At 44.8% G+C, this 27939-nt stretch overlaps 1 protein-coding gene across 6 annotated transcripts in view, besides 10 other annotated features; it reads left to right on the top strand.

Moving 5' to 3' along the window:
* CCBE1 (collagen and calcium binding EGF domains 1) overlaps window positions 1-27939 on the top strand; it is a 266783-nt gene that overhangs the window by 217839 nt on the left and 21005 nt on the right. For all 6 annotated transcript variants that reach the window (XM_024451091.2, XM_017025557.2, XM_047437302.1 and 3 more), the window contains 3 exons: window positions 10276-10410; window positions 12992-13144; window positions 24932-25032. In XM_024451091.2, the coding sequence (XP_024306859.1) occupies window positions 10276-10410; window positions 12992-13144; window positions 24932-25032 (389 nt within the window). The remainder of the gene's footprint in view (window positions 1-10275; window positions 10411-12991; window positions 13145-24931; window positions 25033-27939) is intronic.
* Window positions 7185-7344: a silencer, noted in NCBI's record as "fragment chr18:57139771-57139930 (GRCh37/hg19 assembly coordinates)". NCBI's record gives its function as "represses an EF-1alpha promoter that drives an FKBP-Casp9 reporter gene in an ReSE screen in HepG2 liver carcinoma cells {active_cell/tissue: HepG2}" and the evidence as "EXISTENCE:reporter gene assay evidence [ECO:0000049][PMID:32094911]".
* Window positions 15819-18686: a meiotic recombination region, noted in NCBI's record as "this region was identified as a recombination hotspot within the HapMap YRI population". NCBI's record gives the evidence for it as "EXISTENCE:nucleotide sequencing assay evidence [ECO:0000219][PMID:20981099]".
* Window positions 15819-20064: a biological region, named in NCBI's record as "meiotic recombination hotspot N".
* Window positions 15826-17644: a meiotic recombination region, noted in NCBI's record as "meiotic double-strand break mapped by DNA meiotic recombinase 1 chromatin immunoprecipitation followed by single-stranded DNA enrichment and sequencing in the germ cells of some male individuals with the PRDM9 A/A, PRDM9 A/B and PRDM9 A/C genotypes". NCBI's record gives the evidence for it as "EXISTENCE:chromatin immunoprecipitation-seq evidence [ECO:0000229][PMID:25395542]".
* Window positions 15990-17589: a meiotic recombination region, noted in NCBI's record as "crossovers mapped in sperm cells of males of European ancestry". NCBI's record gives the evidence for it as "EXISTENCE:DNA detection assay evidence [ECO:0005519][PMID:18650392]".
* Window positions 16007-20064: a meiotic recombination region, noted in NCBI's record as "this region was identified as a recombination hotspot within the HapMap CEU population". NCBI's record gives the evidence for it as "EXISTENCE:nucleotide sequencing assay evidence [ECO:0000219][PMID:20981099]".
* Window positions 16699-16711: a nucleotide motif, noted in NCBI's record as "nucleotide motif; similarity to the predicted 13-mer PRDM9 A binding motif (LD hotspot motif), CCNCCNTNNCCNC".
* Window positions 17242-17254: a nucleotide motif, noted in NCBI's record as "nucleotide motif; similarity to the predicted 13-mer PRDM9 A binding motif (LD hotspot motif), CCNCCNTNNCCNC".
* Window positions 18755-18770: a nucleotide motif, noted in NCBI's record as "nucleotide motif; similarity to the predicted 16-mer PRDM9 C-type binding motif, CCNCNNTNNNCNTNNC".
* Window positions 23820-24591: an enhancer, noted in NCBI's record as "H3K4me1 hESC enhancer chr18:57122524-57123295 (GRCh37/hg19 assembly coordinates)". NCBI's record gives its function as "activates a minimal SCP1, AML or CMV promoter by ChIP-STARR-seq in primed H9 embryonic stem cells {active_cell/tissue: H9 hESC(primed)}" and the evidence as "EXISTENCE:reporter gene assay evidence [ECO:0000049][PMID:30033119]".

Genomic DNA, 27939 nt, shown 5'->3' with positions numbered 1-27939 from the left:
GAACCAACCCTCCTCCCTTGACCTCTCTACCTGCTTTCTTTACCTGCCTTTCACCTGCTAAACTTTAAGTCCCTTTACATGACCATCAGCAAACAGTACCTGAGTGTTCAACCCAGCACTCAGATAGAGATACAGAGCAAAGTAAGGCGGGGACCCAGCCCTCAAGTTGTATGCATTCAAGTTGAGAAGCCAGGATGGGGAGCAGATAGAATCAGAGAGACCTAGATTTTAATCATGCTTCTATGTCCTACTAATAGCTTTGACCTTGGGCAAGTTCAGGTTACTTTCTAAGCCTTAGTTCTTACAGGGTAGTATTAGTATGTGGGTTAAATTATGGTTTTAAGAATTTTGCCACATGTCAAGCACTTGGAACAGAGGCTGTTTCTTATTATATGCTTGATAAATGGTGGCTGCTGTTATTGCTGCTGTTGTCATTGTTAGTAATAACTGCAATATGTGCAGTAGAGACATTCAAAGCAGAAAGTGTTCAGAGGGGACATATACACAGAGGCCCAGGGCAGTCAAAGAGGGTCTCAGAAATGAGGGGAGAAGTGAGACCATGTTATCAAGGAAGACTGCCCAGGACTTAAACAAGTAGAAAGTAGAGGGCTACAGAGGGTTCCAGGCAGAGCCCTGACACAGAAAGCAGTAAAGACTATTTGTTTGAAGGGCATGAGGTTAAGCTTGTTCAGGGCTAGGGTGAGGTGGGTGGGGAATGTGAAACAGTTTTCTTCACCTTTGCCCAAGAAGCCAGATCTCTATAGAAGATCTAGAGCCCAGCCAAGCTAATTCTGTTGCATTATCTCATAGAGCACCATTTTTGATCAGTTAGAAACAGATGAATCCCTCCCATTTATCGCTGTTTTCTGTGGAAGGTTGGGACAGTTCATTGAACCATAGCTGTGACCTTTGAGAAAGCTGCCATAGGAAGGCTGGCTGGGAATCGCTCCACGTGTGATGGTTGATGTGGTGTTGGGTTTCTCTAAGCTGAATTTCTCTCTGCTGAATTTCTCAATTCTGTTGGTTATAGCATGATGGGTAAACCCACAAAAGTCACAATAATTGCACTTCTTTCTATAACAGCTTTTCTCAGTCACCAGCTGTGTCCTTTATGTTGCAGTTTGGCAGACTCGAAAGAAAATTAAGTTTAGCCCCTTTGGTTTAAGATCTTATCTAAAGACCTTGCCCAACCTAATTAAAAACACATTGCATGGATACCACATACTTAGAGTTTCTTTCAATATTAGTGGTTTCAAACATCTAGGCCTTAAAAGTAGTCTCCCTCATCCTAAAGAGACTACAGCACCTATAATTAACATAACCCAGAACTGAATATTTTCAGGAAAAGTGGTCACACATGCTGAAAGTTGTTTTGCCAGAGCTAATTATCTGCTCTGTTGCTTTTTGCTAGAACACTTTTCATAGCATGTTTGTTTTAATCTGTGGGAAAAAGTCAATGATTGTTTCTTTTACTAAAGATATCTTTAGTCATAATTGTTTCTATCATCAAAGAATGCAAAGTACAAATGCAGTATTTCAGAAAATATTGTATATTAGGGTTCTCCAGAGAAATAGAACCAATTTTGATTTCGATTTTCTATGTAGGAGAGAGAGGGAGAGACTGAGACTGAGTGAGAGATTGAGACTTTTTTAAAGGGATTGGCTTATGAGATTGTGGAGATGCAAGTCCAAAATCTTCATTGTAGGCAGGCAGGCAGGCAAGAGATCCAGGGAGGAGTTGCAGTTGGAATCTGCTGGCCAGAAGTCCCCCTTAGATTGGTGGGGTGTGGGAGGGGAGGTCAGGTTTTTTCTATTAAGACCTTCACCTGATTGGATGAGGCCCACCCGCATTATGGAGGGTCATCTGATTTACTCAAAGTCTACTGATTTCAATGTTAATCTCATCTAAAAAATATCTTCACAGAAGCACGTAGAATAATGTTTGACCTAATATTTGGACACTTTGGCCTAGCCAAGGTGTCACAAAAAATTATCACAAATCTATGCCTTGTCAACTTGGCACCCATATGCATCTTCTTAAACCATACCTAATCTCCAGATAAAGGCAATAACAAAGTTGTATGTTCATCTGACATGCTGCAACTATGCTGCATGAAACACACTAACCCTTTCCCCAGAAGAGGGTATGAAGTCCTGGGGCACTGGACTTTTCCAGCATCTCCTTGATATGCTTTAATGTAAATACTGTGATGTAAAGTTAACAGTACTTAAATACTGTGATATAAAGTCACTACATCTTATGACATATGATAAGAAGATAAAAGAAGGAAGAAAACAAAGATTGGCATGCAGGTGCACACACACACACACACACACACACACAGAGACATGGAAATAATCCATGGAAAGATAAGAAATACTCATGACAATTTACAGGGCTTTTTTCTGTAACTTGTCCCGTGGTCATAGCTGATACATGTAACCTGCCACCTTCTACCACACAACCCATATTCCCTTTGCCCTCAGCAAGCACCTCGCCTGATCGTGGTTCTTTCTCTACCTGGTTAGGTGACCCACACCTTCATTCCTGAAGGATCTGAGACGTTAGCCCTGCCTGAATTGAGTTGTTGTCTTCTGCTGACTTTTTAATCACAGGGTGTGACAATACTAAGGGACCACCTAAGGTGTTTCTGGTGTTCCAGACATTCTTCCTTCCCTCTGTTGTGGAGTAACAGTACAATTTCCCCTTGGTAGCCAGGATCAGTCACCCCAGCTAGAACAATAACTCCCTTTTTTGCCTGCTGATGCAGAGGCATGAGGAGACCAAAGTAGCCAGGTGGCACCTTAATTTTCAGTTCAATGGAATCATTTTTGCTTCTGTTGCTAGAAGTATTCCTCCCTTTGAAACTAGGCCCTCTAGGCCAATATAACATAAAGTTATAGGAACAGGAAGCAAAAATTTTGCTAGTGGATCAGTAGGGATAACAGTGAGTGGTGCCACTCCCACTTCCACCCCTTGATTCTGGGACCTGTGAATCCTGGTTATGGGACAAACCATACCATATGTTGGATACTGATTCAGAGAATATATATCCTCCTGGTGAACCTGACTCCAGACTAAATAGCTGGGTACCATGGCCTAGCCAAGTTGACATGTAGCACTAACCATCACAGATGGCAAAAAGAAACTAGAATGTCTAAAGAAATACGTTAACTAATGAGTGGAAGCTATAGTTTTTAAGCGTTGCTGCCTCGTATTTGCTGCTCTAAGTCAGGGCTCAGTGAACTGTGGCCTGTGCCCTAACTCTGATTCTGTAAATGAAGGTTTATTGGAACACAGTCAAACCTATTTATTTCAGTATTATGTGTGACTTCTTTTGCACTACAACAAATTACAGCAGAGTTGAGTAGTTGCAAAAGAGATCTACAAAGCCAAAATATCATCTGGCCCCTTAACATAAGTTTGCTGACCCCTGCTAGAAGTGATGTCTTGATTGGCCAGGTGATAGGATGATCTCATTTGTTCTACTTCAGCAATTATTAATTCAGCATAAACTGTGGGAAGGGAGCAGTACTGGTTTCTCAAGGGGACACAGTCCCTGCCAGGTAGCTGAGCAGTCATAAGAACCAGCAGCAAAAGAAGCAGAAGAGCAGGTAAAGCTTGTACTGTGCATCGGGCACAGTGCTTAATGGCATCATCCAATTTAATCTTCATAAAAGCACCATGAAGTGTGGGTATTATTATCTTTATTTTGTAGGAGCTGAGGCATAAAGAACCCAGGATCACCGAGATAGTGGCAGAGATGGGAGGGTTGTCCCAGAACCTATACTATGCACCCTAAAGCTACATACTTCCTGGAATAGGGCCTGGCACAGAGTAAGCATTCAGTAAATGTGGAAGAGTAGCCAGCCGCAGTGGCTCACGCCTGTAATCCCAACACTTGGGAGGCCAAGGCGGGCGGATCACCTGAGGTCAGGAGTTCAAAACCAGTCTGGCCAAAATAGTGAAACCCTGACTCTACTAAAAATACAAAAATTAGCCAGGCCTGGTGTCTGGCACCTGTAATTCCAGCTACTCCAGAGGCTGAGGCAGGGAGAATTGCTTGAACCAGGGAGGTGGAGGTTGCAGTGAGCCGAAATTGTGCCAGCGCACTCCAGCCTGGGTGACAGAACGAGACTCCATCTCAAAAAAATAAATAAATAATAAATAAATATAGCAGAGCATGGGAATAAAAGAGGTATAGAGTCCCATGGGCGGTGAGAGGGTAGACAAACTAAACTCTGTTGAGGAGGTCAAGGAAGGCTTCTTGAAGGGGTAGCATTTGTATCAACTCTTGAAAAACTGGATAAGATATCAACAATTATAAAAGGACATTGCAAGAGGTAAAAACAGAATAAACAAAAGTATGGAGGTGAGAAGGCAAGGATGTGAATAAGGGGTGAAGAAAAAGAGAAGTTAGTTTTGCTGCAGTATAAGGAACTTACAGATAAGTCTCAAGGTTAGAAAAGTCTCAAGGGATATAATGCCAGAACTTAAATACAGGAGCGAACCATTTATATTTCATGTTGATTAGTAGCAAGTTGTAAAGGTTTTTAAACAAGGGGATGGTGTACACAGTGCTATGCTTTGGGAAGGTTAGCCTGGCAGTGTTATCCCAAATGGATTTAATCTTGGGATGGTAAGAATCTTGGGATGAAGATCTTGTTTACAAGGGAGTTTCTGAAGGTCTGAGTTAGAATGGTGCCAAAAGAAATAGGACAGAGAGGATAGAAAATAGATACACTGTAAAGATAAAAGCTACATGACTGAAAGCTGGTAGGCTCTGGGGAACAAGCATCAAAAATGGAGGACTGAATAAATTCATTAATCTTGCCTCCTCCAGAAAATGCACAAAATGGGCAGGGCAGGAGGAGGAGGCTGGAAAGATTCACAAAAGACAAACCCACGAGGACAAAATGGGAAGAGGAGATAATAGCAATAAAACTTTGGAAGCTGGAGAACAGAGAGGGAGGTGGTAAATAGCTTAGCACAATCCAAAAGGTTGAATTGTAGCCAGCTTAAGGAAACCAAGGAGCAACCCCAATTTACACCAAAACAAACAGTAATCAGTAACACTACAAATAAACTAGAAAAAGGGGTAAAAGTAGTGTGAAAACAGGATTGATTAAAAGTTTAAGAAGAAGTCAGACTCCTGGATCTTGTCCTCTGCTCCATACAGACAGGATATTGCCTTTTCCACAACCAGACAGAAGACAGAAGATATATTTTCTAAGAGAGTACACCAGAGGTTCAAGGATCTGAAGGAGACCAGTCAGCTGAAAATGAATGCCCAGTACTGAAAAAGGAGGGTTTCGGTAAATGCTCACACATTGAATTTTGAAGCCCTCAGCCTTCTCCCTTCACTTGAGTTCCAGAATGACTTCACTCTCAGGCAAGGATTTGGAAATGTCTTCTGTGGGCATTCTAGACAACCCAAGGAAAAGGTCTTAAGAAACTGAACTTGTAATGCACTGGCCAAATCACTTACAGTGATACCCAGATGTCATAAAATCATAAAACTATATGCAAACAGATTCTATTAATCTGTTTTAAATACACCGTGAATAAACTAGAGCAGCCGTCTCAGGATCATCAGATATTAGAGGGAAACTACCATTTGGCCCAGCAGTGGTATATATTCAAAGGAAAATAGATCATTACACCAAAAAGACACATGTATTTCTATGTTCATCACCGTGCTATTCACAATAGCAAAGACATGGAATCAACCTAGGTGCCCATAGTAGTGGATTGGATAAAGAAAATGTGGTACATATACACCATGGAATACTACACAGTCATAAAAAAGAATGAAATCATATCTTTGGCAAAAACATGGATGGAGCTGGAGGCTATAATCCTAAGCAAACTAACATAGGAAGAGAAAAACACAAGTACCACATGTTCTCACTTATAAGTGGGAGCTAAACATTGTGCACACATGGACATAAACATAGGAACAAGACACTGCAGACTAGTAGTAGGGGGAGGAAATAGTGGGAGGGTTGGAAGGTGAGTAGTCGGGGGAGGAAATAGTGGGAGGGTTGGAAGGTGAGTAGTAGGGGGGAATAGTGGGAGGGTTGGATGATGAGTAGTGGGGAGGAAATAGTGGGAAGGTTGGAAGGTGAGTAGTGGGGGAGGAAATAGTGGGAGGGTTGGAAGGTGAGTAGTAGGGGGGGAGTAGTGGGAGGGTTGGATGGTGAGTAGTGGAGGGCGGAAATAGTGGGAGGGTTGGAAGGTGATACTGAAGAAGTTTTCCAAGCACGAGAGCAAGAGATCAAAGAAATTAACAATAGGGAAAAAAAAAGATGAGAATATTAGACATAAAGTCCAGGGGATGCAACATCCAAATAATTTAAAATTCCACACAGAGGGAGTAAGTTCTTAAAGATATAATTCAAAAAGTCTTCAGAATTGAAGGATATTAATTTCCAGATTATAAAAAGGGTTTACCAAAGATTGAAGTGGTACCATATAAGTCCTAAAAATTTTTAGGGAGGAAAAAAGATGTGATTCATACAAAAGCTCAAGAGTTTGAATCTCACAGGACTTCCCTGCAGCAGCATTGAAAAGCTGGAAGACAATGGAACAATGCCTTCAAAATTCTGAGGCAAAGTTTTCCAACCTAGAATTATATACACAGACTATCAGTAGTAATCATAAGGGTTGATAAAGTATATTTTAGACATGCATGATCTCAAAACTTTTACCCCTTTTATGACATTTTTCAGGAAGCCAATGGAGAATATTCTCCACTAAAATGAGGGAGTAAACTGGAAGAGAGAAAGACATGGATATATGGTTTGGCTGTGTCCCCACCCAAATCTCACATCGAACTGTAATAATCCCCACGTGTCAAGGGCAGGGCCAGGTGGAGATAATTGAATCATGGGGGCAGTTTCCCCATACTGTTCTCATGGTGGTAAGTCTCACAAGATCTGATGGTTTTATAAATGAGAGTTCCCATGCACAAGCTCTCTCTTGTCTGCCACCATGTAAGACATGACTTTGCTCATTTGCCTTCTTCCATGATTGTAAGGCCTCCCCAGCCATGTGGATCTGTGAGTCAGTTAAACCTCTTTCCTTTATAAATTACCTAGTCTCAGCTATGTCTTTATTAGCAGCGTGAGAACAGACTAATACATGAGAGATCCAGGAAACAGGAATCCAACAAAAGAGAGAGGGAGGTGATGGGCATCCCTAGGTTCATGGTGAATGCACATTCATGGAGGCAGCTGTAGGCTGGGCGCGGTGCTGGTAATCCCAGCGCTTTGGGAGGCTGAGACGAGGATTATTTGAGGAGTTCAAGACCAAGAGTAGTAGCTGCTGTGCAGCAGACCTACAGAGTCCTAATTAGAGCAAGTTGAGATTAATTTGAAAAAATGTCTATAAGAAGAGATTCGCAAAATTGAGGGGATCTCTGGTGATGAATCAGTGATCAATTTGTAGAAAACTGAATATGTAGATTGAATTGTCCAGAAACAGAGCCTTCACCACTTATTTAACAGAAAGCAATTAATATGAAGAATTGCTAACTAGTAATTGAGAACCAAAAATGCAAAGGAAAACTAAGTATCATTGAGGTAACAACTGCAGGAAGCAGCTACCGCCTCTAGGCTAGGGAAACAAAGAGAAGATACTGGGCCAGTGAAAACTTAGAAGTTTGGAGGACCCAGCACTCTGAGGAAGAGGTACTGGCTAGCAAGCCCTATTTCTCAGAACTCAGAGGAAGTTACTAGTGGATCAGGGACCCAGACCTTTGAGGAGGGGCTACCAGATGGCTGGCTGGTGCTGATGTCTCTGAAATGGGATATAGTGAGGCTGATTTTGCAAGTGTTGGAAAAAATACAAGCTGGATTTTGCTGCTACTGTTTTCTTTTTGGTAGACACAGGAGCTCACTATGTTGCCCAGGCTGGTCTTGAACTCCTGGCCTCAAGCCAGCCTCCTACCTCAACCTCCGGAGGTGGCACATGCCACCATGCCCGGCTTGCAGCTGCTATTGAAACAGTCTGCTAGTGGGATGGAAGAGAAAGGCTGATATTAGGCTTTCATGAATAGGAAGCCCAGGAAGCAAACCAGAAAAAGGCAGATATCCTTTCTTCCTCTTCCAGCCTCCCTGTCTGTATCTGTCTGTGTCTCTATGTGTGTCACTGTCAGAAATGAAGAGGCTGGCAACTGACACAGGAATAATGTGGTCTCCAGAGCCCAAGTCACAAAGTAGCCCATGGAAGAAGAAGGTGGGTGTTTGAAGCTAAGAGGGAAAGCTCAGTAACTGGCACCCCAAAAATATACAAGGTAATTCTTTTAATTCCAAAGAAGACAAAAAGGTCTTCAAGAAGGTACAAGTAATTCAAGCATACTTCCAGGCTCAGCAAAGAATAGCTTTTATGTTGTCATTATGGTGCAAATACTAACAATTACCGCACCAAAATATCATCATAACTGTATTGGCCAGATGGAGGGAATATGAAGTTATGGGTGTGACTGCAGGGCACAGGAGGCCGTGAAAAAGTTAAATGCATCTCTTCTGTTACTGGAAGTCAATAGAGAGGATTTAAAATAAAAATAAAGCAATGCAAGTCAGCTATTTAGAGATGCAGAAGTGAGTATAGAAAGAATCAGAAGAGTTGAGAGCGGTTCCTCAGGGAAGCAGAAATGGTAGGAGAGACAGGGAACTGCCTTGTTAGGCACCATGATCAACTCAAACACTTCGACAGCCTCTCTGCCTCCTTCTTCCCCTTCCCAGCTGCTGCGGAATGGTGGCAACAGCCAACAGGGAAGCTCAGAGCCAGTCATGCCAGGATCACGCTCTCCAACAAAAAGAGCACAGAACCTTGGCTGCCTAGAGGCGATGCCAAGTGGGGGAAACGTGTAGCCAGAGACAGTTTGCAGGGTTGGTCAGAACACCATGCAGGCAAAGCAGGCCTGAAATCACAATCATGGGAAGGAGTATTTTACAAGGGCAGCTTTCCAGGTCATCGTGAGAGTGGCACAATACTTGTCACACAAACCCTCCCTGCATCAGGAGCTGACAGCCCACCCGTTCACCTTCATATGTGGTGGAGCAAAGCCAGACTCGCTCTGTGTCCAAGTATAGTTTATCTGTCAGCACCTGGAAGAGATAGTGCAAGGATTAATGAGGTGCTGGCTCCGGTCCGGGAGTCAGTGTTGTGCCTGAGCTACTGAATTAGAGCCAAAGTCCCTTCAGAGGCTCATTACATATCAGTTCATAGGAACTGAGAGGAGCAGATGCCCTAATTCTTTATGAGTAGCAGTGTATCCACCTCAGTTTGTACAGGCTGAGAGCTGGAAAGAGACCTCTAGCCATTCAAACTCACCCAACCCCTTCTCAGCATGAGAGATCAACCCCCCAGGATGCACACTTATACAGTATACACACATAAGCATCGGCCCTCTTATAAGTCATGCACATTTCTATTACAAAGTGATATGGTTTGGCTGTGTCCCCACCCAAATCTCATCTTGAATTGTAGCTCCCTTAATTCCCTCGTGTCATGGGAGGGACCTGGTGGGATGTAATTGAATCATGGGGTGGGTCTTTCCCATGGTGTTCTCATGACAGTGAATAAGTCTCACGAGATCTGATGGGGAGTTCCCTTGCACACACACTCTTGCCTGATACCATGTAAGAAGCAGCTTTGCTCCTCATTCACCTTCAGCCATGATTGTGATGCCTCCCCAGCTATGTGGAACTGTGAGCCAGTTAAACCTCTTTCCTTTATAAATTACCCAGTCTCAGGTATGTCTGTATCAGCAGCATAAGACTAGACATGTATACACAAAGCCCCCTTCCTACCTCTCTGAGCCTGCCTGACTTCCAGCCCTTCCTCCCACATGATGACACCAGTGCCTGTCACCCCAGCTGGCCTTTGTTTAGTATTCTGCTGGGTGGAGTCACCTGCCTCTACAGCAGTTGATGAACAAGACAAAACAGCACCCCCAACCCCGAGGGAATCCGCAGAGGCTGGCCCTCTTAAGAGTCTTTTCTCTCTGGATAGTGACAAAGACCAAAGGATGACAAGGTGACCTAGGGGAAAAATCACGAGTGATGTGATGCCATGTAAGTTACCCATTGCAGTACTCTTAGAAGGTGACCCACAGCCCTAAAGAGTTCCTGTCCCTCCAAGTATATCTGTCCACACTTCACACGTGCCCTTGAGCAGAGCCCAGCCCAGAAAGTCCTTTCCAGGCCAGGGCCAGGTTACTCCGCCTCCTCCTGTAGTTGATGTGAGCTCTCACTTTGCTTTTTCAGATTACGACGTTTGTGCCGAGGCTCCCTGTGAACAGCAGTGCACGGACAACTTTGGCCGAGTGCTGTGTACTTGTTATCCGGGATACCGATATGACCGGGAGAGACACCGGAAGCGGGAGAAGCCATACTGTCTGGGTGTGTTGGGAATGTGCTTGTTTCCAGCTTCTGAACATGTGCCTTGTTCAGATGGTTCTGTCCTTGGTTGGACCCTTCAGTTCTCATACTTGTTGGATGGAGTTGTGTTTGATATTATCCTAGGGATAGCTTATCACTGCCCTTCATCACAATTACTAAAACCAATTAGGCCCAAGGAATTCTTCCGGGATTTGGTACCAGCAAGGTCCTAATTGGCAATGAGACATAAGAGCAGGAGAAGGGGAACATGCCCAAATATAAACTAGAATAATGTAAAACAGAGTATAAGTGGTCAGAAAAGTAAAAACGCAGACAGAACAAAACAAGAATAAACATTCTCTTAGAAGATGGTTGGGGAAAAAAGGAAGTAGCCATATGGCAGACAGGTTGGGAGGAAGTCAGAGGGAGCTGAAGCCAGCCACCTGGGCTGCAGCTGAGCAGAGCCTGCACCATCCACGGCACCAGCCTGTTTACTGCCACCCTCATGAACTGGCTATCCCAGCCGTGCACTCCTTGAGGTTCTAAGGCAGCTTTATGGCTCATTTTCCATTGGAACCATGTGTCTGAAAGTGTGGTCAGTTCATAACTAACCCAAGAAACATCTGGGGTCCTCGTTTGGGGAAAAAAAAAAAAAACCTGGCCTTTTCTCCACACCTAATGAATCACAACTCTGAGAGTGGGTCCAGACGTGCATATTTACACCAATGCCTCTAATGATTCCTAGGCATGGTGAGATTTAAGAATCAACTGGAGGATGAACTGCCAGAGACTAGCAGGTAGACCTACATGGAAGATAAACCAGCTGTCATGAGCATCCCTCTTTCTCTATCCTAGCAGGGGCTCTAGGGAGCACCATTTCTGAGAAGTTCTAACCGTAGGTCCTCTGGTTGCTCCCTGTCGGCATTTGGGAATGGTGCCCCACAATGCCAGACAATGGGATTGTGACTCCCAAGTGAATGGGGCAGGGATCTCTGGCCTCTCCTGCAGAGAAAGGTACAGGCCATTCCATGAGGCTCAGGTCCCAGGCACAAGGCTCTTACTTCACTTTATAGCAGCTACTGTACCCTATTCTTTATGCATTTATTTTTGAGACAGGGTCACACTCTGTTGCCCAGGCTGGAGTGCAGTGGCGTGATCATGGCTCACTGCAGCCTCAACCTCCCGTGCTCCTGTGATCCTCCCACCTGAGCCTCCTGAGTAGCTGGAGCTACAGGCATGCGCCACTACACCCAGCTAATTTTGTTCGTATTTTATAGAGATGGGATTTTACTATGTTGCTCAGTCTGGCCTGGAACTCCTGGGCTCAGCTTCCTGTCTTGGCCCCCCCAAAGCGCTGGGATTACAGGCATGAGCCACCGCACCCAGCCCCCTGTTCTTTTTGTTTGGGGGTTTGGGGACCAGCAGAACTTGGCTTCTACTAAGAGTTCTATTTCTATCTCTGATTTCAACTTCATCTCCTCTCTCTCTGGGCAGTACAGGCAGCATCACATGTAGGTTTAGGGCAGGGACACCTGGGGAAAGGCAGTGAGCCTGAGGAATTGCAGAGGAGGATGCAGCTGCAACATCCGGTCTACAGGTGACATAGTTGGTACTGCCGGGGAGCGTCCAGATGACCACCCTCCCCTCAGCGTACACAGGGACTGAGTCACTGGCAGCTTGTGCAGGGAGTGGCTGGGAAGTTGTTGCCATCCTCAAGTTCAGGGCTGGCCTGTGTCTACGCAGCACATGTGCACAGTCTGGGGCTGCATGCCACGGCTCCCACCCACTGCTACCCACTGTCTTCAACCAGTGAACAGGAAATGGAATTGGGCCTCCCACTGTCCTCGTGGTGGGAAACGTTTTTGTTTCCACCATGCGGCAGGGGAGCAAGTCCATGATGTGCATAGTTAACATGGGCTCTTCATGGGGACTTGTTTGATGGTCCCATGGCTCATTTCCACAGCTCATGAGGGGTCTGTCTGGGTTCTTGATGAGGCAGAAATTTCCTGGGGAAGACTCTTTCCATTAGACCCATTATGACTATTTTCTTTTATTAGAAGTATCTTTTCCCAGGTGCCATCATGGCTTTTAACTGGGAAGGAGCCATTCCTAAGTGACCTGTGGGGTCATCGTCATGCTGTTTGGAACCTATACCATAAAGGGAAACTTAAAAATCCCCAGCACAGTAGGGCACTCACAAAAAATCATCTCTATAATGTTTGCTTCTCTGAGTGTTGTCACTGGTGATCTCATTGTCATTTCTAAGCAGCCCTCTGAAGTGTTTAGGGCAGGCTTCATTGTTATTGTTCTGTAAGTGAGATCTCTGAAGGCTAGCAGTCTAAGCCACATGACTTGCGAGTGGCAGAGCCACAGCCAGGAACCCCATCACTGATCAGCCTGTAACAATGGCCACTTGGCCAAAAGTGCTGTTTTTATGGATGACCCACATTTCTAGCTCCCTACTTTATTCCAGGCTGCTCTGATCAAGGTCGGCCCAAGTGTCCTTCATTGTTATTAACAGAGAGGCAAAGCCCAATGTCATCTGTTGTATTAGAAGTGAATTCTCAGAAACTTAGTATTCTCTACATTTGGTTCAAACCAGATATTGATGAGTGTGCCAGCAGCAATGGGACGCTGTGTGCCCACATCTGCATCAATACCTTGGGCAGCTACCGCTGCGAGTGCCGGGAAGGCTACATCCGGGAAGATGATGGGAAGACATGTACCAGGGGAGACAAATATCCCAATGACACTGGTAAGTAGGGCAAGTCTAAATATCTCCCTAATTACATATTTTTATATATTATATATATAACCAGTTTGGGGGTTTATATATTATATAGATATGATTATATAATTGTATATATAAATATATTTATGTAATTATGCTATGTAATTTTATATACAATGTATGCCACATTATGTTTAATGTCTAAAGTTTCCAAGTGCCTATATGTAATTATACATAATTATTTATTGTATAAGTTCGTTCTCACACTGCTGATAAAGACATACCCAAGACTGGGTAATTTATAAAGAAAAAGAGGTTTAAAAAACTCACAGTTCCATATGGCTGGGGAGGCCTCACAATCACGGTGGAAGGCAAAGGAGGAGCAAAGGCACGTCTTACACGGTTGCAGGCAAGAGAACGTGTACCGGAGAACTGCCCCTTGTATTGATAAACCATCAGATCTCTGAGACTTATACACTGTCATGAGAATAGCATGGGAAAGACCTGCCCCCATGATTCAATTACCCACCACCAGGTCCCTCCCATGACACATGGGGATTATGGGAGCTATAATTCAAGATGAGATTTGGGTGGGGACACAGCTAAACCATATCATGTATTTTATATTCATGTAGTTATATGTAATATATATAACATATATTTTTATATATTAAGAGCACAATCAGGTACCTCAGAGGACAAGCAGGCAAGTGGGCAGGAAGGGGCACATATATGAATTGTAAATGGGACCTAGGGAAGAGAATATAAGTTCAAACTCCTTCTAAAGAGAAAGAATAAGAGTGATGCCCATTAGCTCAAGGGTTGTAAGCTAGTGTGTACTGGAGGAAGCTCTCCACCAAGCTGAAGTGGTGTGCTCTTAGAGAAATGAGTAGAGCTTAGATATGTGTTTAGACAAACTAAGATGAGCAGAGAAGAGGTCAGAAACGCTGTGTTTTCCCAAAGAAAATGGGCTGAAATATAAATATGAAACATCTCCTTGTAAGGTAAACAATCTGTATCCATGCTACTCAAAATATGGTCTAGGGACAGGCAAGATTCACAATTGGATAAAAACAAAAATTGAGAGTGTTTAAAAATTTTTATATCAATCTGACAGAGGAATTTTGTTTAAATCCAAAAATTTATGCTTGCATTTTACATCTTATTTTTGTAGTGGTTCATCTTTGTGTTTCACAGAAGTATCAGTCCACAGGCAGTTGGAAAATTTCTAAAAGCTGGGCCTTTAGCACAGAGCTGAGAAGCTGATTTACATTATGTCGGCGACATTCAACTGAGATGTCTGGTCACTCAAGCATATGATCAGCTGAAGTTCGGGTTATTTCCTTATTTGAGTTCGGAGGAAAAAAGAAGAACGAGGCAGAGTGGAAAAGGGGAGGGATGGGGGAAGAGGAAAGAGAGAAGAAGAAAGAGAAAGGAGAAAGAGAGCCCCTAAACTAATATCAATGCTCCAGGCAATGCCTTGTCATCAAAATACCACCATATGCATGTGTGAAGCAGCTCTGGTCCCCCTGCCAAGTTGTCAGTGCCAGCCTAGCCATGAAAATGTAGGATTTTAGCCTACATGTCAAGGGCCTTTCTAGCAAGGGTGAACTTTGAAGCAAAATGGACTCCATTGACAATGGCTGGCAGGACCACTTCCCTGGGGAGAAAGCCCTCAGCCACTTAGAGGGCCTGAGGCTGGTGCCACACAGCCACCAGCTCCTGTACCCACTACTTGTAGCCCAGGAAGCTGCTGTCCTCTTCCCCAAGCCTAGGGCTTAGCTCTTCTCTACTTACCTCGGGAAGGGAAGGTGGCTGGAGCTCTGTCGGGAGAGGTTGGCTGGGCCTGAACCTTCCTTTGGGGTTCCTAGGACAAATCACCCATAGCCAGAAATGCAGAGATGAAAAAACCAGAGCTGTTTGGGCACTCAGGAGGTGGTGATTCTTGGGTGTAGCCCAAGCTTCAAAAAGGGCTAGAAGGCAGCAGCCATCAGCTGAGGACAGCAAACAGCTGAGGACCAGCTTCCGCTGCCTGGCAAGGGAGAACTACAAAGTGAAATTCTGACAAGCAACTGGGCTGAGTCACAAGGAAGCTGCCATATGTCGGAAGTAAATGCAAAATAAGTCTTTGGAACCAGTTTAGGATTGGGCGATTTGAATAATTTGAGTGAATTTGAGGACTTGGTGACACTTCTTAAAGCCTGAAGCATGTGGCATGTGCCTGCCCAGGGGTGTTCATAGGGCAGAGGAAACGGGCTTGTCGATCATCCAGGTTGACTGGAGAAAAGTAACATTTACAGACCACTTTTTTGTTTTGTTTTGTTTTTGAGACAGAGTCTTGCTCTGTTGCCCAGGCTGGAGTGCTGGAGTGCAGTGGTGCAATCTCAGCTCACTGCAAATTCAGCCTCCCGGGTTCAAGGGGCTCTCCTGCCTCAGCCTCCCAAGTATCTGGGATTACAGGTGCCTGCTACCACTCCCTGCTAATTTTTGTATTTTTAGTAGTTTCACCATGTTGGCCAGGCTGGTCTCAAACTCCTTGACCTCAGGTGATCCGCCGGCCTCTGAGCCTCCCACAGTGCTGGGATTACAGGCATGAGCCACCATGCCCTGACTACTTTTTAAGTTCCAAATTAAAATCACTGAGTTTTGTCCCATGGTGGAGACAGTGGGGGAGGGGCAGGCAAGTGTAACTTACCTCATAGATGATGTCCTTTACTGAAAACAGGAATCTCACTGAAAAACAGGGTGCAGCTATTTAGCCACTGATCTATGAATGTGTGGGGCCTGCTTGAGAATCAGTCACAAGAAAGCAGCTTTCTAATTTTTCATTTTGGGAATTGGATTTTCAGCTATGCTCTGAGCCAGGTAGCCCATGCGTTATGGACAGCCCAGCCTGGCAAGTCCATTGTCTCTTTGCCTCAGATTTATCTACAGGTGAAATCCCACTTATATGCTCATGAAGGGCAGCCTCCAGCAACCAAGGCTTATGCTTGAGCATAATCACCGGGAACCCCAGCAACAAACGCAATACTGCTGGGGGTTAGGTTGAGATTCGATGTTGGGATATAGAAATAATAGGACCTGGCCCCGCCCACAAGGAGTTCCTGCCTGTGAGGGAGAGTGGCCTGCGGGGAGACCAACCATCACTAGCAATGACCAGAGAAGCGGGATGGAATTTCCAGAGACTGGTATCAGATTTTAAATGCTGAGTTTATTTGTGCTTTGGTCTCAGGTAGCCTCCACCTCCTGCAGTAATTCCTAGATCCTCCACCCACATTCCTCTTCAGTCCCCAAGGCAGCAAGCCCTGTGTATGGCCCTGCTGTGTGGTGCCCTGGCGGTGGCTGTAAGTCAGAGAAAATCAAAAAAGTTAGCTGGGTGTGGTGGCACGTGCCTGGAGTCCCAGCTACTCAGGAGGCTGAGATGGGAGGATCACTTGAACCCAGGAGGTCTAGGCTGCAGTGAGCTACGATTGCTGTGGGTCAGAGTGCAGTGACAAGGTCTGCCCTGGTGAGAGACAGTCACCTGTGCCTCCAACCTTCAGCAGTGTGGGCCCAGAAAGGGCTGGGGGCAGGCTAGGGTGGGAAAGGGGGAAGGAAAAGGAAGTTCCCAGAAATTAGCAGTCTCTTGCTAAGTCAGCACTGGGACTACATGCACCTCTTTCCTTCCCTGAGAAATGAAATGTACTTCTTAAATATTTTTCAAGTAAAGTTTCAGATAAGTACAAGAAATCAAGAATTATTTTTAGTTGATGACCAGTGTGACCTCTGTGGCTAAGAATTCAGTAAAAATACCTGAGCAGTAGTAATATTAGAGGATCTATTTTACATTGTTTTTTGGTATCTTCTCTAGTATTATTTGCGTTAAAGGCATATTTTATCTCCACCGTTTACTGCAGCATTTCCCCACATGATGTTCTGCAGACCTGTGGGTTCCTGTGAGCTGTCAATAAGCATATCTTTCTTAAGGTCCTGTGTTCAGGTGTTTGGAGGAGTGTGCCTCACTGCACCCACTTCCTAAGGGGTCACAATTAGAATGCACTAAAAGCCCAGAGAGATTGCCATTTAAAAAAAAAAAATTAGGTCAGGTGTGGTGGGTCAAACCTGTAATCTCGGCACTTTGGGAGGCCAGGGTGGGAGGATCGTTTGAGCTGTTCGAGACCAGCCTGGCCAACATAGTGAGACCCCATCTCTACTAAAAATTGTTTAAAAATTAGCTGAGCATAATGGTACATGCCTGTAGTCCCAGCTACTCAGGAGGCTGAGGTGGGAGGATCACTTGAACTCAGGAGGTTGAGGCTGCAGTGAGTTATAATTGCACCACTGCACTCCACCCTGTCTCAAAAAAAAAAGAAAAGAAACTTTGATTAAACCCAAAATTATTCCTACAGACATATCACAAGTGATGGTATCCTGAAGAACAGTTTAGAAAATATCAACTTAGCATCAAAGATCTTAGCTCTGGGGCCAAACGATAAGCCAACTGGTCAACGTTCAGGCAAGGATGTTGATATCAGCAGATGAAGCGGCCGGAGTCCAGAGAGGAGTGTTTTCTGTAGACTGCATGGCATCTGATGAATGGAAGTAGGATACTACCTTCCATTCTGCCATATTGAGAGACAGTTACAAGTGACTATAATGAGGGATGTCCTGTTTAATCAAGAGCATTCTGCTGGTTATATCATTGAGCTTTACTGTCATTCAAAACTCATTGCAAAAGATGACACTTGGCAGCCGGGGATGGTAGCTCAGGCCTATAATCCCAGCACTTTGGGAGGCTGAGGCGGTAGGAACGCCTGAGGTCAGAAGTTCAAGACCAGCCTGGCCAACATGGTGAAACCCCGTCTCTACTAAAAATACAAAACATTAGCTGGGCGTGGTGGCAGGCGCCTGTAATCCCAGCTACTTGGGAAGCTAAGGCAGGAGAATCGCTTGAACCCAGGAGGCTGAGGTTGCAGTGAGCCGAGATCACACCATTGCACTTGGCTTGGGCAACAAGGGCGAAACTCTGTCTCAAAAAAAAAAAAAAAAAAAAAGATTACACCTGGCTGGGAATCCTCTCCTCTTTCTCTTCCATTGACATCCTTCCCCAAATATAGCAATTGCAAATAGTCTTAAAAGGGAAACCTGATATGACTCTACTAAGGGTGCTCTCCAGCAGCACCCTTCTACAGTATTTTCAGTAATTTGTCTCCACTGAATTTATCACCTATGCACAGAGGACTAGCATTTGATTTTATATTTCAGTAAAACAAAATTGAAACACCAGTAACCAGGAATATTTGAAAGTAGAAACTCAAGGGTAGAGAGAAGGGTAGAGGGAAGCAATTCATACACATAATTAAAATTATGAGAAAGGACAGGCCGTTGCATGCCCTGAACATTAAAGTCATGATTCAAGAGATTGGACTGCTGGGAAGGTGGGGGCTGGCTTTGATGGTTCTGGCAAAAAAAAAAAAAAAAAAGTGCCTCCACTCTTCAGCAGTGTGGCCCAGCAAGGGCCAGTGGTGGCGGGGAAGGGGATCATTTCTTTAACAGCTGTGATGCAGTGGAAAGTTCCTAGGCTTGACAGTTTGAAGTAATGCGGAACCAAAGTTGGTTCAGTATTAACTGAGCAACAATGAGCGGGTCTCTGGGCCTCAGTTGCCTTATCTGTAAATGAGAAGGTTGAACTACATGAGCTTTGAAGACCCTTTCACCCTTTCAGACATTTTTCATAATTTGGTATGACTTAGCATAAGTGATACAAGCCCTGTGATTCCATGTGAAGACCTCATTTTTTTATTTTTATTTTATTATTTATTTATTTATTTATTTATTTATTTATTTTTGAGACAGAGTCTCCCTCTGTCACCCAGGCTGGAGTGCAGTGGCGCGATATCCGCTCACTGCAACCTCTGCCTCCCAGGTTCAAGCGATTCCCATCCCTCAGCCTCCCAAGTAGCTGGGATTACAGACGTGCGCCACCATGCCCAGCTAAACCTTTTTGTATTTTTGGTAGAGATGGGGTTTCACCATCTTGGCCAGGCTGGTCTCGAACTCCCGATCTCAGGCGATCTGCCTGCCTTGACCTCCCAATGTGCTGGGATTACAGGCGTGAGCCACAGCTCCTGGCCCACGCCTCATTTCTTAGTCCTCCATCTAAGAAATATACCCAGCCTCCACACCTTCTAAGCAGAGGACTTTCCTCAAAATATCTAAAAGATGAATTATTACACATCCAAACATTCAATTCAGCAATAAGAAATGTCACAGGCCAAAAAGAGTCCCACATTCCGGAACATCAGAAGCTGATAAGCATTTTCATCTGTTTTGGACTAATTAGTAAGCTCAATATTTCGTTATGGTCATTTTGTTATGAATTGAGAGTGATTCTTGAGTATAACCACATGTGATCTGAAATCATCTCTTCCTCCTTGGTTTTCCTTTTTAACTTTGCATATCTAATGCCTGTATTGTTACAATCAGAGGAATTTGAAATCAAACACAACCTCAGCTGGTTGTTAGGAATCCAGGAGGAGAGAAGGGAGGGTGGCCCCAGGACTGCCTCTGAGGCTTGAGAGGTTGCAATCCACTGGCTTCAGGCTCAGTGAGACAAGCTGTCTGGCTAATGGACATTCAGTCACTTTGATTTTCTCTTTGAAAATATGTAGCCGGAGCCAGTTTAGTCACCCCAGGGAGTCTGTAGCCTCAATAGGGAGACAAATTAAGGAAATGTTGGCTCCAATAGTAATTAGCTTGCCAGTCTTTATTTTTCAACTTTTGTTTATTTTCTGATAACGTGACCGTGACCCCTGGCATCACTTATTACAGGTCAGTGTCAGATGGCCAGGTGTTTCATATTACTTTCAAGCTCCACTAATCCATAGATCAGCGGTTCTCAACCTTGCAATTACCTGGGGAGCTTTTTTAAAAATGCTGATACTGTTGCCTTGCCATCCCCAGACGGGTGGTGTGCAGCAGAATTCATATTTTAAAAGCCCTCCAGGTGATTGTAATGTGCCTCCGGGGTTGGATATTACAGCCAGAACACAAATCTGCACGATCAACTTTTAAACACAAACATGCTTTGTTCATTTCTAACACTGCCCATATAAAATATTTCAGGAACATTGTTTGGTTTTTCTAAGATATCTAAGGCATTACAACTTCTAATGCTTAGGATAGACGTCCTGGTCAACTTCAGGAAAAATTAGAGCTTCATGCCCCCATGTGGCTAATCAATAATATTGCACCTTTAAAATCTGAACAAGTTGAAGAAAAAATGTTAAGTGATACCATCCTAGGCTTTTCCCAGAAGTGTGACCACAGCATTAGTTGAGAGGATTGAAAACATGCAGCGACATCTACCCCAATTTCTAAGTAAACTGTTAATGTAGCATATGTGAGATTATTTGTAGCTCCATGTTGACATTATTGTAGACAAATTACAAGGTGGATGTGAACCCGTCATCAGAGTAGGTTTTATGTTCCAGGTCTACATATACAAAAGGTATGAGTCCTTGTTTATCTTTAAACCCTTGAGAGCTGTATTGAAAAGGTGATGTAAGGTCCCAACCCCACATATCTGATTTTGTAGAGAACTGAATCATAGTAATACCGACAATAAATAACATAAAAATGAGTACTGTGAATAGAGCTCTTAACATAAGCTGGGCACTGTTCTGGGAACCTACATATCTTATCACTGGCTCCTCGTAGCAGCTCCAAGTGATAGGTGCTGTTACCTTTTTACCGTTCAAAGAATGGGCATTCACAGAAACCATGACTTGTCCAATTTAAAAGGTACTAGTTAGCAGCATCAGTATTCAAGTTCTGATCATGTAACTCCACCAGCGCCTACTCTCCTTACTACCATGCTGTGTACTTCTGCGTCAGAGGAGCTTCAAGTCTTCTGGATAATGTTAATCTTGGTTCACTGTGTTCTGACAGTTCCACAAAGGAACAGAAAACAGCCCAGGAATTTGCATGTAACAGGTCACTCCGCAGAGCTTCTGCCCTGGAGCCTGGCCGACAGATAGCTCTCAGGTGTTCTCAACAGAATTCCCAATAGCAGGCTCACTGCGTGCACCCACTCCTCCAAAACGGCCAGCTGGGACCCAGTTGAGTTCGTGGTCTCTTCGCACAGCAATCTGAAAGACCTAAGGCAAGTTACTGTCTCTCTCTGGATCTCACTGTCATCTACAAAAGAGATTGAACTAAAGATACGTTCTAACATTCCATGATCTAAATGAAATAGTCGAGAATCTGGTAAAGAGGTTTATCTTATCATGAAGCTGTTGAATTGGTTAATCACATTAACACTTGGAAAATTTAACTGAGTATGTAAAAGTAAAAGTGGACAGAAACATGAGCTTTTAACTTTTGTTCATGGCGGCCCCGCTCTGCCAACAGGGCTAGATTCTTAAAGGTGAATTGAAAATTGTTAAACAGATATCCTCACTTACTTTGCATTCTCAGTGCCTGACACAGGACCTGGCTAACAGCAGATGCTCCATAGATGGATAAGAGGAAGGAAAGGTTGGATGGATGGACAGACTTATTGATAAGTGGTTAGGAAGATGGAATGGATGGGAAGATGGATGGAAGGATGGATGGATGGTTGGATGGATGGATAGATGGATGGATGGATGGATGGATGGATTGATGGACAGACTAGATTGATGATGGTATTCTGTAAATTGACCAGTAGATGAGATGGAGTGGATGAAAGACTAGTTGGGAAAGATGGATGTCATTCATCTGTCCTTAGGTATTAACATAATAAACCTGGAGCCTGGGTCATCTTTTCATGCAGGAGCCCACCATTTCCTGCAGTCAGCACAACCAAAGTTAAGGCGTCAGCCCTTTACAACTAAGTATATTATTGCATGGAAATTTGCCTGCCTTAGTCTGTTGGAGATTGAGCTAAATAATTCTGGTTCTCAGGAGTATTCAAGCTCCATAGGATTATAAATTGGTACATTGAACAGGGGTAAAAAACCCAAAGGAAACCATCTGATTTGTGGAAAAGGTATTGGACTTAATTTCAGGACAACTCCATTCTAAACCCACCTCAGATACTTGCTAGGTGACCTTCAGGAAGTCGCCAGACCTCAGTTCCCTCATTTTGTTATTCATGTTCATCCTGTTATTCTAGGGTTCTGGGATTATCAGGCAAAGGAAATTTAAGGGGTTTGGTGGGCCTGAAAACTGCTGGGCATCGCCTCCCATCTACCTACAACCAAGCTGTGTGCTGAGAGCTTTCCGTGCATTACCTTGCCCAGTCATCACAGCAGCCACATGTGGTGGGAATTGTAATTCCAGGGCTGTGGTCGAGGCAAGTGGGGTTTGTGGAGGCCAAGTAACCTGCCCAAGGTCGCTGAGCCTATTCAGTGACAGAGATGGGACCTGCACCCAGAACAGTGGGACTCAAGTTTGTGCTGGTAATCAGTTCACTCTACCATCTCTGATACAAGCCCTTCCCTATTCCCCCTTACTGCTCAGCTCGTTATCACACAGCTGCAGTGAGTCAAAACCATCCCTCCAGTGCACCAATTGAAGGGAGTACAGGTGAGGAAGCTACGGGAATTCGCCTAGAAAGCAGGCATTAACAAGATGGCCCTGTTATGTTGGTTACACATAAAGTGGATTTTTAAAAACTGCCACTTTTGCAGAGGTTCAAGTGTTTTTCTCCGATGACACATTCAAAACCTGCCTAAAGAGCTATGTTGACCCTGTATATTCAACAATTACACTGTCACTTGTGGAAACGCAACTACACAGCATGGCATCATTTGTGTCAACCTGCTGGCTTGAGAAATGTGTACCTAGCTCGGGTGCTGCCAACCCCAGGTCTCCCATGGTGCAGGGATGGTGGTGCAGCAGGTAAGCTCTGAAACTTCCTGCTGCTGTGCTGAAGGTGCACAGTCTGAGAGCTCAGCTACCAGGCTGCCTCTGGGCCTGCTCACCTCCCAAAGGGCAGAAGCCCTGGTCACTGCATATGTCACCAGGAAGAGGACTGGGCAGTCGGGCTGTGTAAGGAAGTTTTGCCTGCATGTGGGCTGCCCTCATGCCCATCTCTCCCTCCATCCATTCAAGTGTCTGTTTCCTAGGGTTGCCATAGCAAAATGCCACAAATTAAGTGGCTGAAACAGAAATTTGTTTCTGGTCTGAGGTTAGAAGTCTGAGATGTCAGCAGGGTTGGTTTCTTCTAACAGCTATGCAGGACAATCCATTCCGTGCCTTTCCCCAGCATCTGGTCATCAGCGGGCAATTTTTGGTGTTCCTTGGCTTCCACTGCCTCTCACCTCTGCCTTCATCTTCACATAGCATTCTTCCTGTGCGCAAGTTTCCCCTTTGTATAAAGACACCCATCATATTGGACTAGGATCCCATCTTACTCCAGTATAACTTCATCTTAACTGATTTTATTTGAAGTGATCCTGTTTCCAAATAAAGTCACATTCTAAAGCACTGGGAATCAGGACACAATTCAACCTGTAACGATCCATTTCCCAAAGATTTTTCGAGCATCCATTACGTGAGATACCAAGAAGTGAGCCTGGTTCTTAGGCAGCTTACCTGGTGGCATGCGCCCTAAGAGATGCTCTCCAGGGAGGCCTAGAAGACCAGCCTGTGAGTGGGAGGGACACACGGTAAATGCTGCCTGATTTTCAGACTTCCGTGGGTAGAGAGCAGGCTTCATGGAACATTTGATGTGCATCTTGGTGGGATTCAACAAGTGGAGATGGAACAGAGGGCTTTGCAGAAGAGAGGAACAGTAAGAAGCAAAGTATACGGGCCAGGAAGAACAAGAGATGGTCACGCATTACCCGACTTCCCCAGTCTGCGTTCTAGATAGTCGTGGTTATTATGTCACACAAAGAGCAAACCTGGCCCAACGCCAAAGGGCTGCTAAGCGAAGAGAGTTTATGCTTCCCTGGGTGTCAAACTGTCCTGCCTGCCTGAACAAAACACCCTCAACCTAGCACTTTCAGCCCACACTGCTGCCACCTTTGGCACAGACCTTGGCAGTCTGTGCAAGGTCCTCAGCAGCAAGGTGACCCAGGTGGCTGGTCTCCCCAGCATGCAGGCTTAAGTAGGCCATTCCAGTGCCAGGAAGAAGAGAGCTGTCTGTATTCTTGGCCAGATCACCATTTACTTCACCCAGTTTTCCTTTAGCAAAGAATGTTTTTACAAAAAGCCCATGGAGCACCTAGTGTTCTACAGCAGGGCTTTGGGACCCTTTGCAGTGGTTGGGCCCGACTGCGTTTCCAGTGCTGTCCTGAATGGCCCCAGATGGAGTGGCGAAGTGTCTGGGGCATTTCCCATCCTGGCCTCACGCGTCGGTGAGGTCAGCTCCCGGCCCACTGCTGTGCTCCCTTTGAAGAACTGGATTAGCAGAGGTGATAAAGGCAGCTTTGAGGCCCAGTGCCTGCACTTGGGGAATATTTACAGTGTGTGAACATTAGCCCTTTAAGGGGAGTATAAATCATGTCAGATTTATAGAGCCTGCCTTCTGGAAAAGCACTGATAAAAGGCCATGGTACGCATTTTCACACATGAAAGGAAGATCAGGGTCTTCCTGGCATGTCTAAATAGGAACAGCTGAGCCCAGCTTCTAGCAGGGCCCCTCTCCCTCTGTCCTCCCCTCTTCCCTGACCCTGGGGCATGCTGGCAGGACCTGAGAGCTGTAAAATCACCCACAGTTGAGCCCTCGCATGTCCCGCTGTCAGCTACTCTGTCCCTGGGACCGCCCTTCCCGATGCTGTCTCTCTGGGTCTGGCTTGCATCCAGCCTCCCAGACAGGACTGAGCCTATCTCCTTTCTCAGGCCATGAGAAGTCTGAGAACATGGTGAAAGCCGGAACTTGCTGTGCCACATGCAAGGAGTTCTACCAGATGAAGCAGACCGTGCTGCAGCTGAAGCAAAAGGTACGTGCCGCTGGGGTGGGAACGATGATGCCTGATGGAAGGAGGGCTTGGCCAAGGCCAGGTGGAAGGATATTTACAAATAAGAAAATATCCACATTGAGCATTCACGCAGTTGATGCCAGTGAGGTTTGCATGGACTTGGGATGTTTTGCCCACCCTCAGAGCCATCCAAGGGGCATCAGGACACAATGATGGCAAGGGATTGCAGAGGCAATTATTAAAATGGACACTAGGTAAGGGACACGTGGCAAAGCCATAGATAGGGTGAGCTACGGCTATTGCAACTTCTCATAAAATAAATTTCCAGCCGGGTGCGGTGACTCACGCCTGTAATCCTAGCACTTTGGGAGGCTGAGGCAGGTGGATCACCTGAGGTCAGGAGTTCAAGACCAGCCTAGCTAACATGGTTAAACCCCATCTCTACTAAAAAATACAAAAATTAGCTGGGTGTGGTGGTGGGCACCTGTAATCCCAGCTACTTGGCAGGCTGAGGCAGGAGAATTGCTTGAACCTGGGAGGCAGAGGTTGCAGTGAGCTGGGACCACTCCATTGCACTCCAGCCTGGGCAACAAGAGTGAAACTCCAACTCAAAACAAATTTCTAGGCATGCCATCGGAAAGTCCATAGATTATGGAAATAATCTATGTGCCTTAGGGAATACATGTGCCTAAGTAATTCTATTTTATCTAAGATCTGTACATTATTTATAGAGAATATTGTCTCTATAAACTGCCATAAGCTGGTGAGGAACTTGTGCAGCAGCTTTCTTTTTCACTTTTGAAAATTATAGTCTATGCCCTTTCTGAGTTTCCTGCACCTAGAAAAGCAGCCCTGTGGGTACTTTGTGTCACCAAGGATGAGGACTAATGCACTTTATAAAAGGCTGTCCGAATGCCTGACGGTATAGCAGATTTCTAGTAACACCGTTCTGCTGTGAGTAATGCCCCGGGATGGGTCTGGCAATCTGACTTCTTGAACAACTGTCCTGGACCCAGATAAACAGTATTTATTCTACCTAAGATTGCTCAATTCGCTAGTTTGTCAGGGACTCAGAAATCACCCTTAAACTGATAAAACATCTTCTTGTTTTGTTTGTTTAACGGCTTCCAGTCAAGGCTCTTAGCACATCAGAGAGGTGTATCTTCCCTGTTGAACTTTGGCATCCAGTGATTCTAAAGGGCTTGAGAGTAAGCCTGAGATGGTATCTCTTTCCCATGTTCAACAAACATGCAGCCAGCCCCTAATGAAAACCACAGCTACCAGTTCAGTAGATCAACAGGCTGAGAAGAGAAATGGTTTGCAGGCCTTTTTTACGACTCTGATGACGTGATCTGCTTAACAGAAACATGTATATATCTGATGGATAGTTATGAATAAAACATAGATTTAACCCTAAATAGCTTATGATCCTAATAGGAAGACTAGGCAGAAAACCTTGTCTATCACTATAAACACAGAGACATAAATAAATACATCCAACACAGATATCCCCAGCTTGAGCTTAGGTTGATGTTAGTTGTATTGAACAAACCCAGAGAAGGGTTCGAGGAAGAAGTAAGTTTGCATTTCATAAGCCAGAAGGGCTTGGGTTAGGCAGTCGATCAATATCTCCAGATGTACCTCTCAAGGCATAAAGCTACCCTCACTTTCCTTCCCTGGAAGTAATCTGTGTGCCTTAGGGAATTTATTTCCAGCCAGGATGATCTTTAGGAACAGGGGGCTAAATAGCGCAAGTCATTCAGAAATTCAGTTGCTAAATCAAAGTGTGGTTTTCCCTTAATCTCCTTGCCATGTTTTTTTGTGATGTATAAAAATAAAGAAGTGGAGAAACTTGCATTGAAATACTTGTCACCCTCAAAGACCCTGCTGGAGAGCTACATAAAAATCCACGAGGTCATCTTAATACTCCAGTAACTCTTATGCAATTGAGTTGGACTAGCATCGTTCTACCTTATACCAAAATCTTTCTGCAAATGCATTGTGGCAATCCCAAGCTAATGTAGACTTTCAAGGAATGTTATGAGGAGCAATTTATTTCTAAAGGTTCCTATTAGAATGTCTTGCATTCCACAGCCCAGAAAGCGTTATATCCAGAATCACATTTAATTAGCACCATGACCCCGTGGAAAAGATACTGATGGTCTTAGAGAGGTGCAATAACCGTCCGAGAGGGCAGGCCTAAAACCTAGGTCCTCTCATTTCTACTCCTGTGCCAGTGTTTGAACTGTCCGTTGGTTTTGTTGTTTTTGTTTTGTTTTGAGATGAAGTCTCGCTCTGTCGCCCAGGCTGGAGTGCAGTGGTGTGATCTCTGCTCACTGCAACCTCTGCCTCCCAGGTTCAAGCAATTCTCTGCCTCAGCCTCCCGGGTAGCTGGGATTACAGGTGCCTACCACCATGCCACGCTAATTTTTTTTGTATTTTTAGTGGAGACAGGGTTTCTCTATGTTGGCCAGGATGGTCTTGAACTCCTGACCTCATCATCCACCCGCCTCGGCCTCCCAAAGGCCTGGGATTACAGGCATGAGCCACTGTGCCTGGCCTGTCAGTTGTTTTTTAATGTCGTCTTGCTGCTGCTAATGCCATTTGTTCACAAAAGAACATAGGACATCTGCCCAAATAAACATTAGCCAAGAAGGAGATGCTAGCAGTCCTAGACCATGGCCAACCCCACAGCATGAAACGGTGTTTAAACACCTTGAACCACACCACAAACATCCAGTCGGCAACATTCCAACCATGGGAAACACGACAGGTCAAATGCCCTGGGTTCCGGCAGTCTGCAGGCAACAGGAAACTTAAAGGACCTATCACTTTTTAAATGAGCAACACTAAACCATAATATCTAGGCATGCACAGGTGGGTAATACATTATTTTTTAAAACATAGGAAGTTATTACTATGAAAGGA

This window comes from Homo sapiens, chromosome 18 (assembly GCF_000001405.40).
Source record: "Homo sapiens chromosome 18, GRCh38.p14 Primary Assembly".
NCBI lineage: Eukaryota > Metazoa > Chordata > Mammalia > Primates > Hominidae > Homo > Homo sapiens.
The sequence above is the reverse complement of the archived record's forward strand: the minus strand, read 5'-3'. Positions and strand labels throughout refer to the sequence as shown.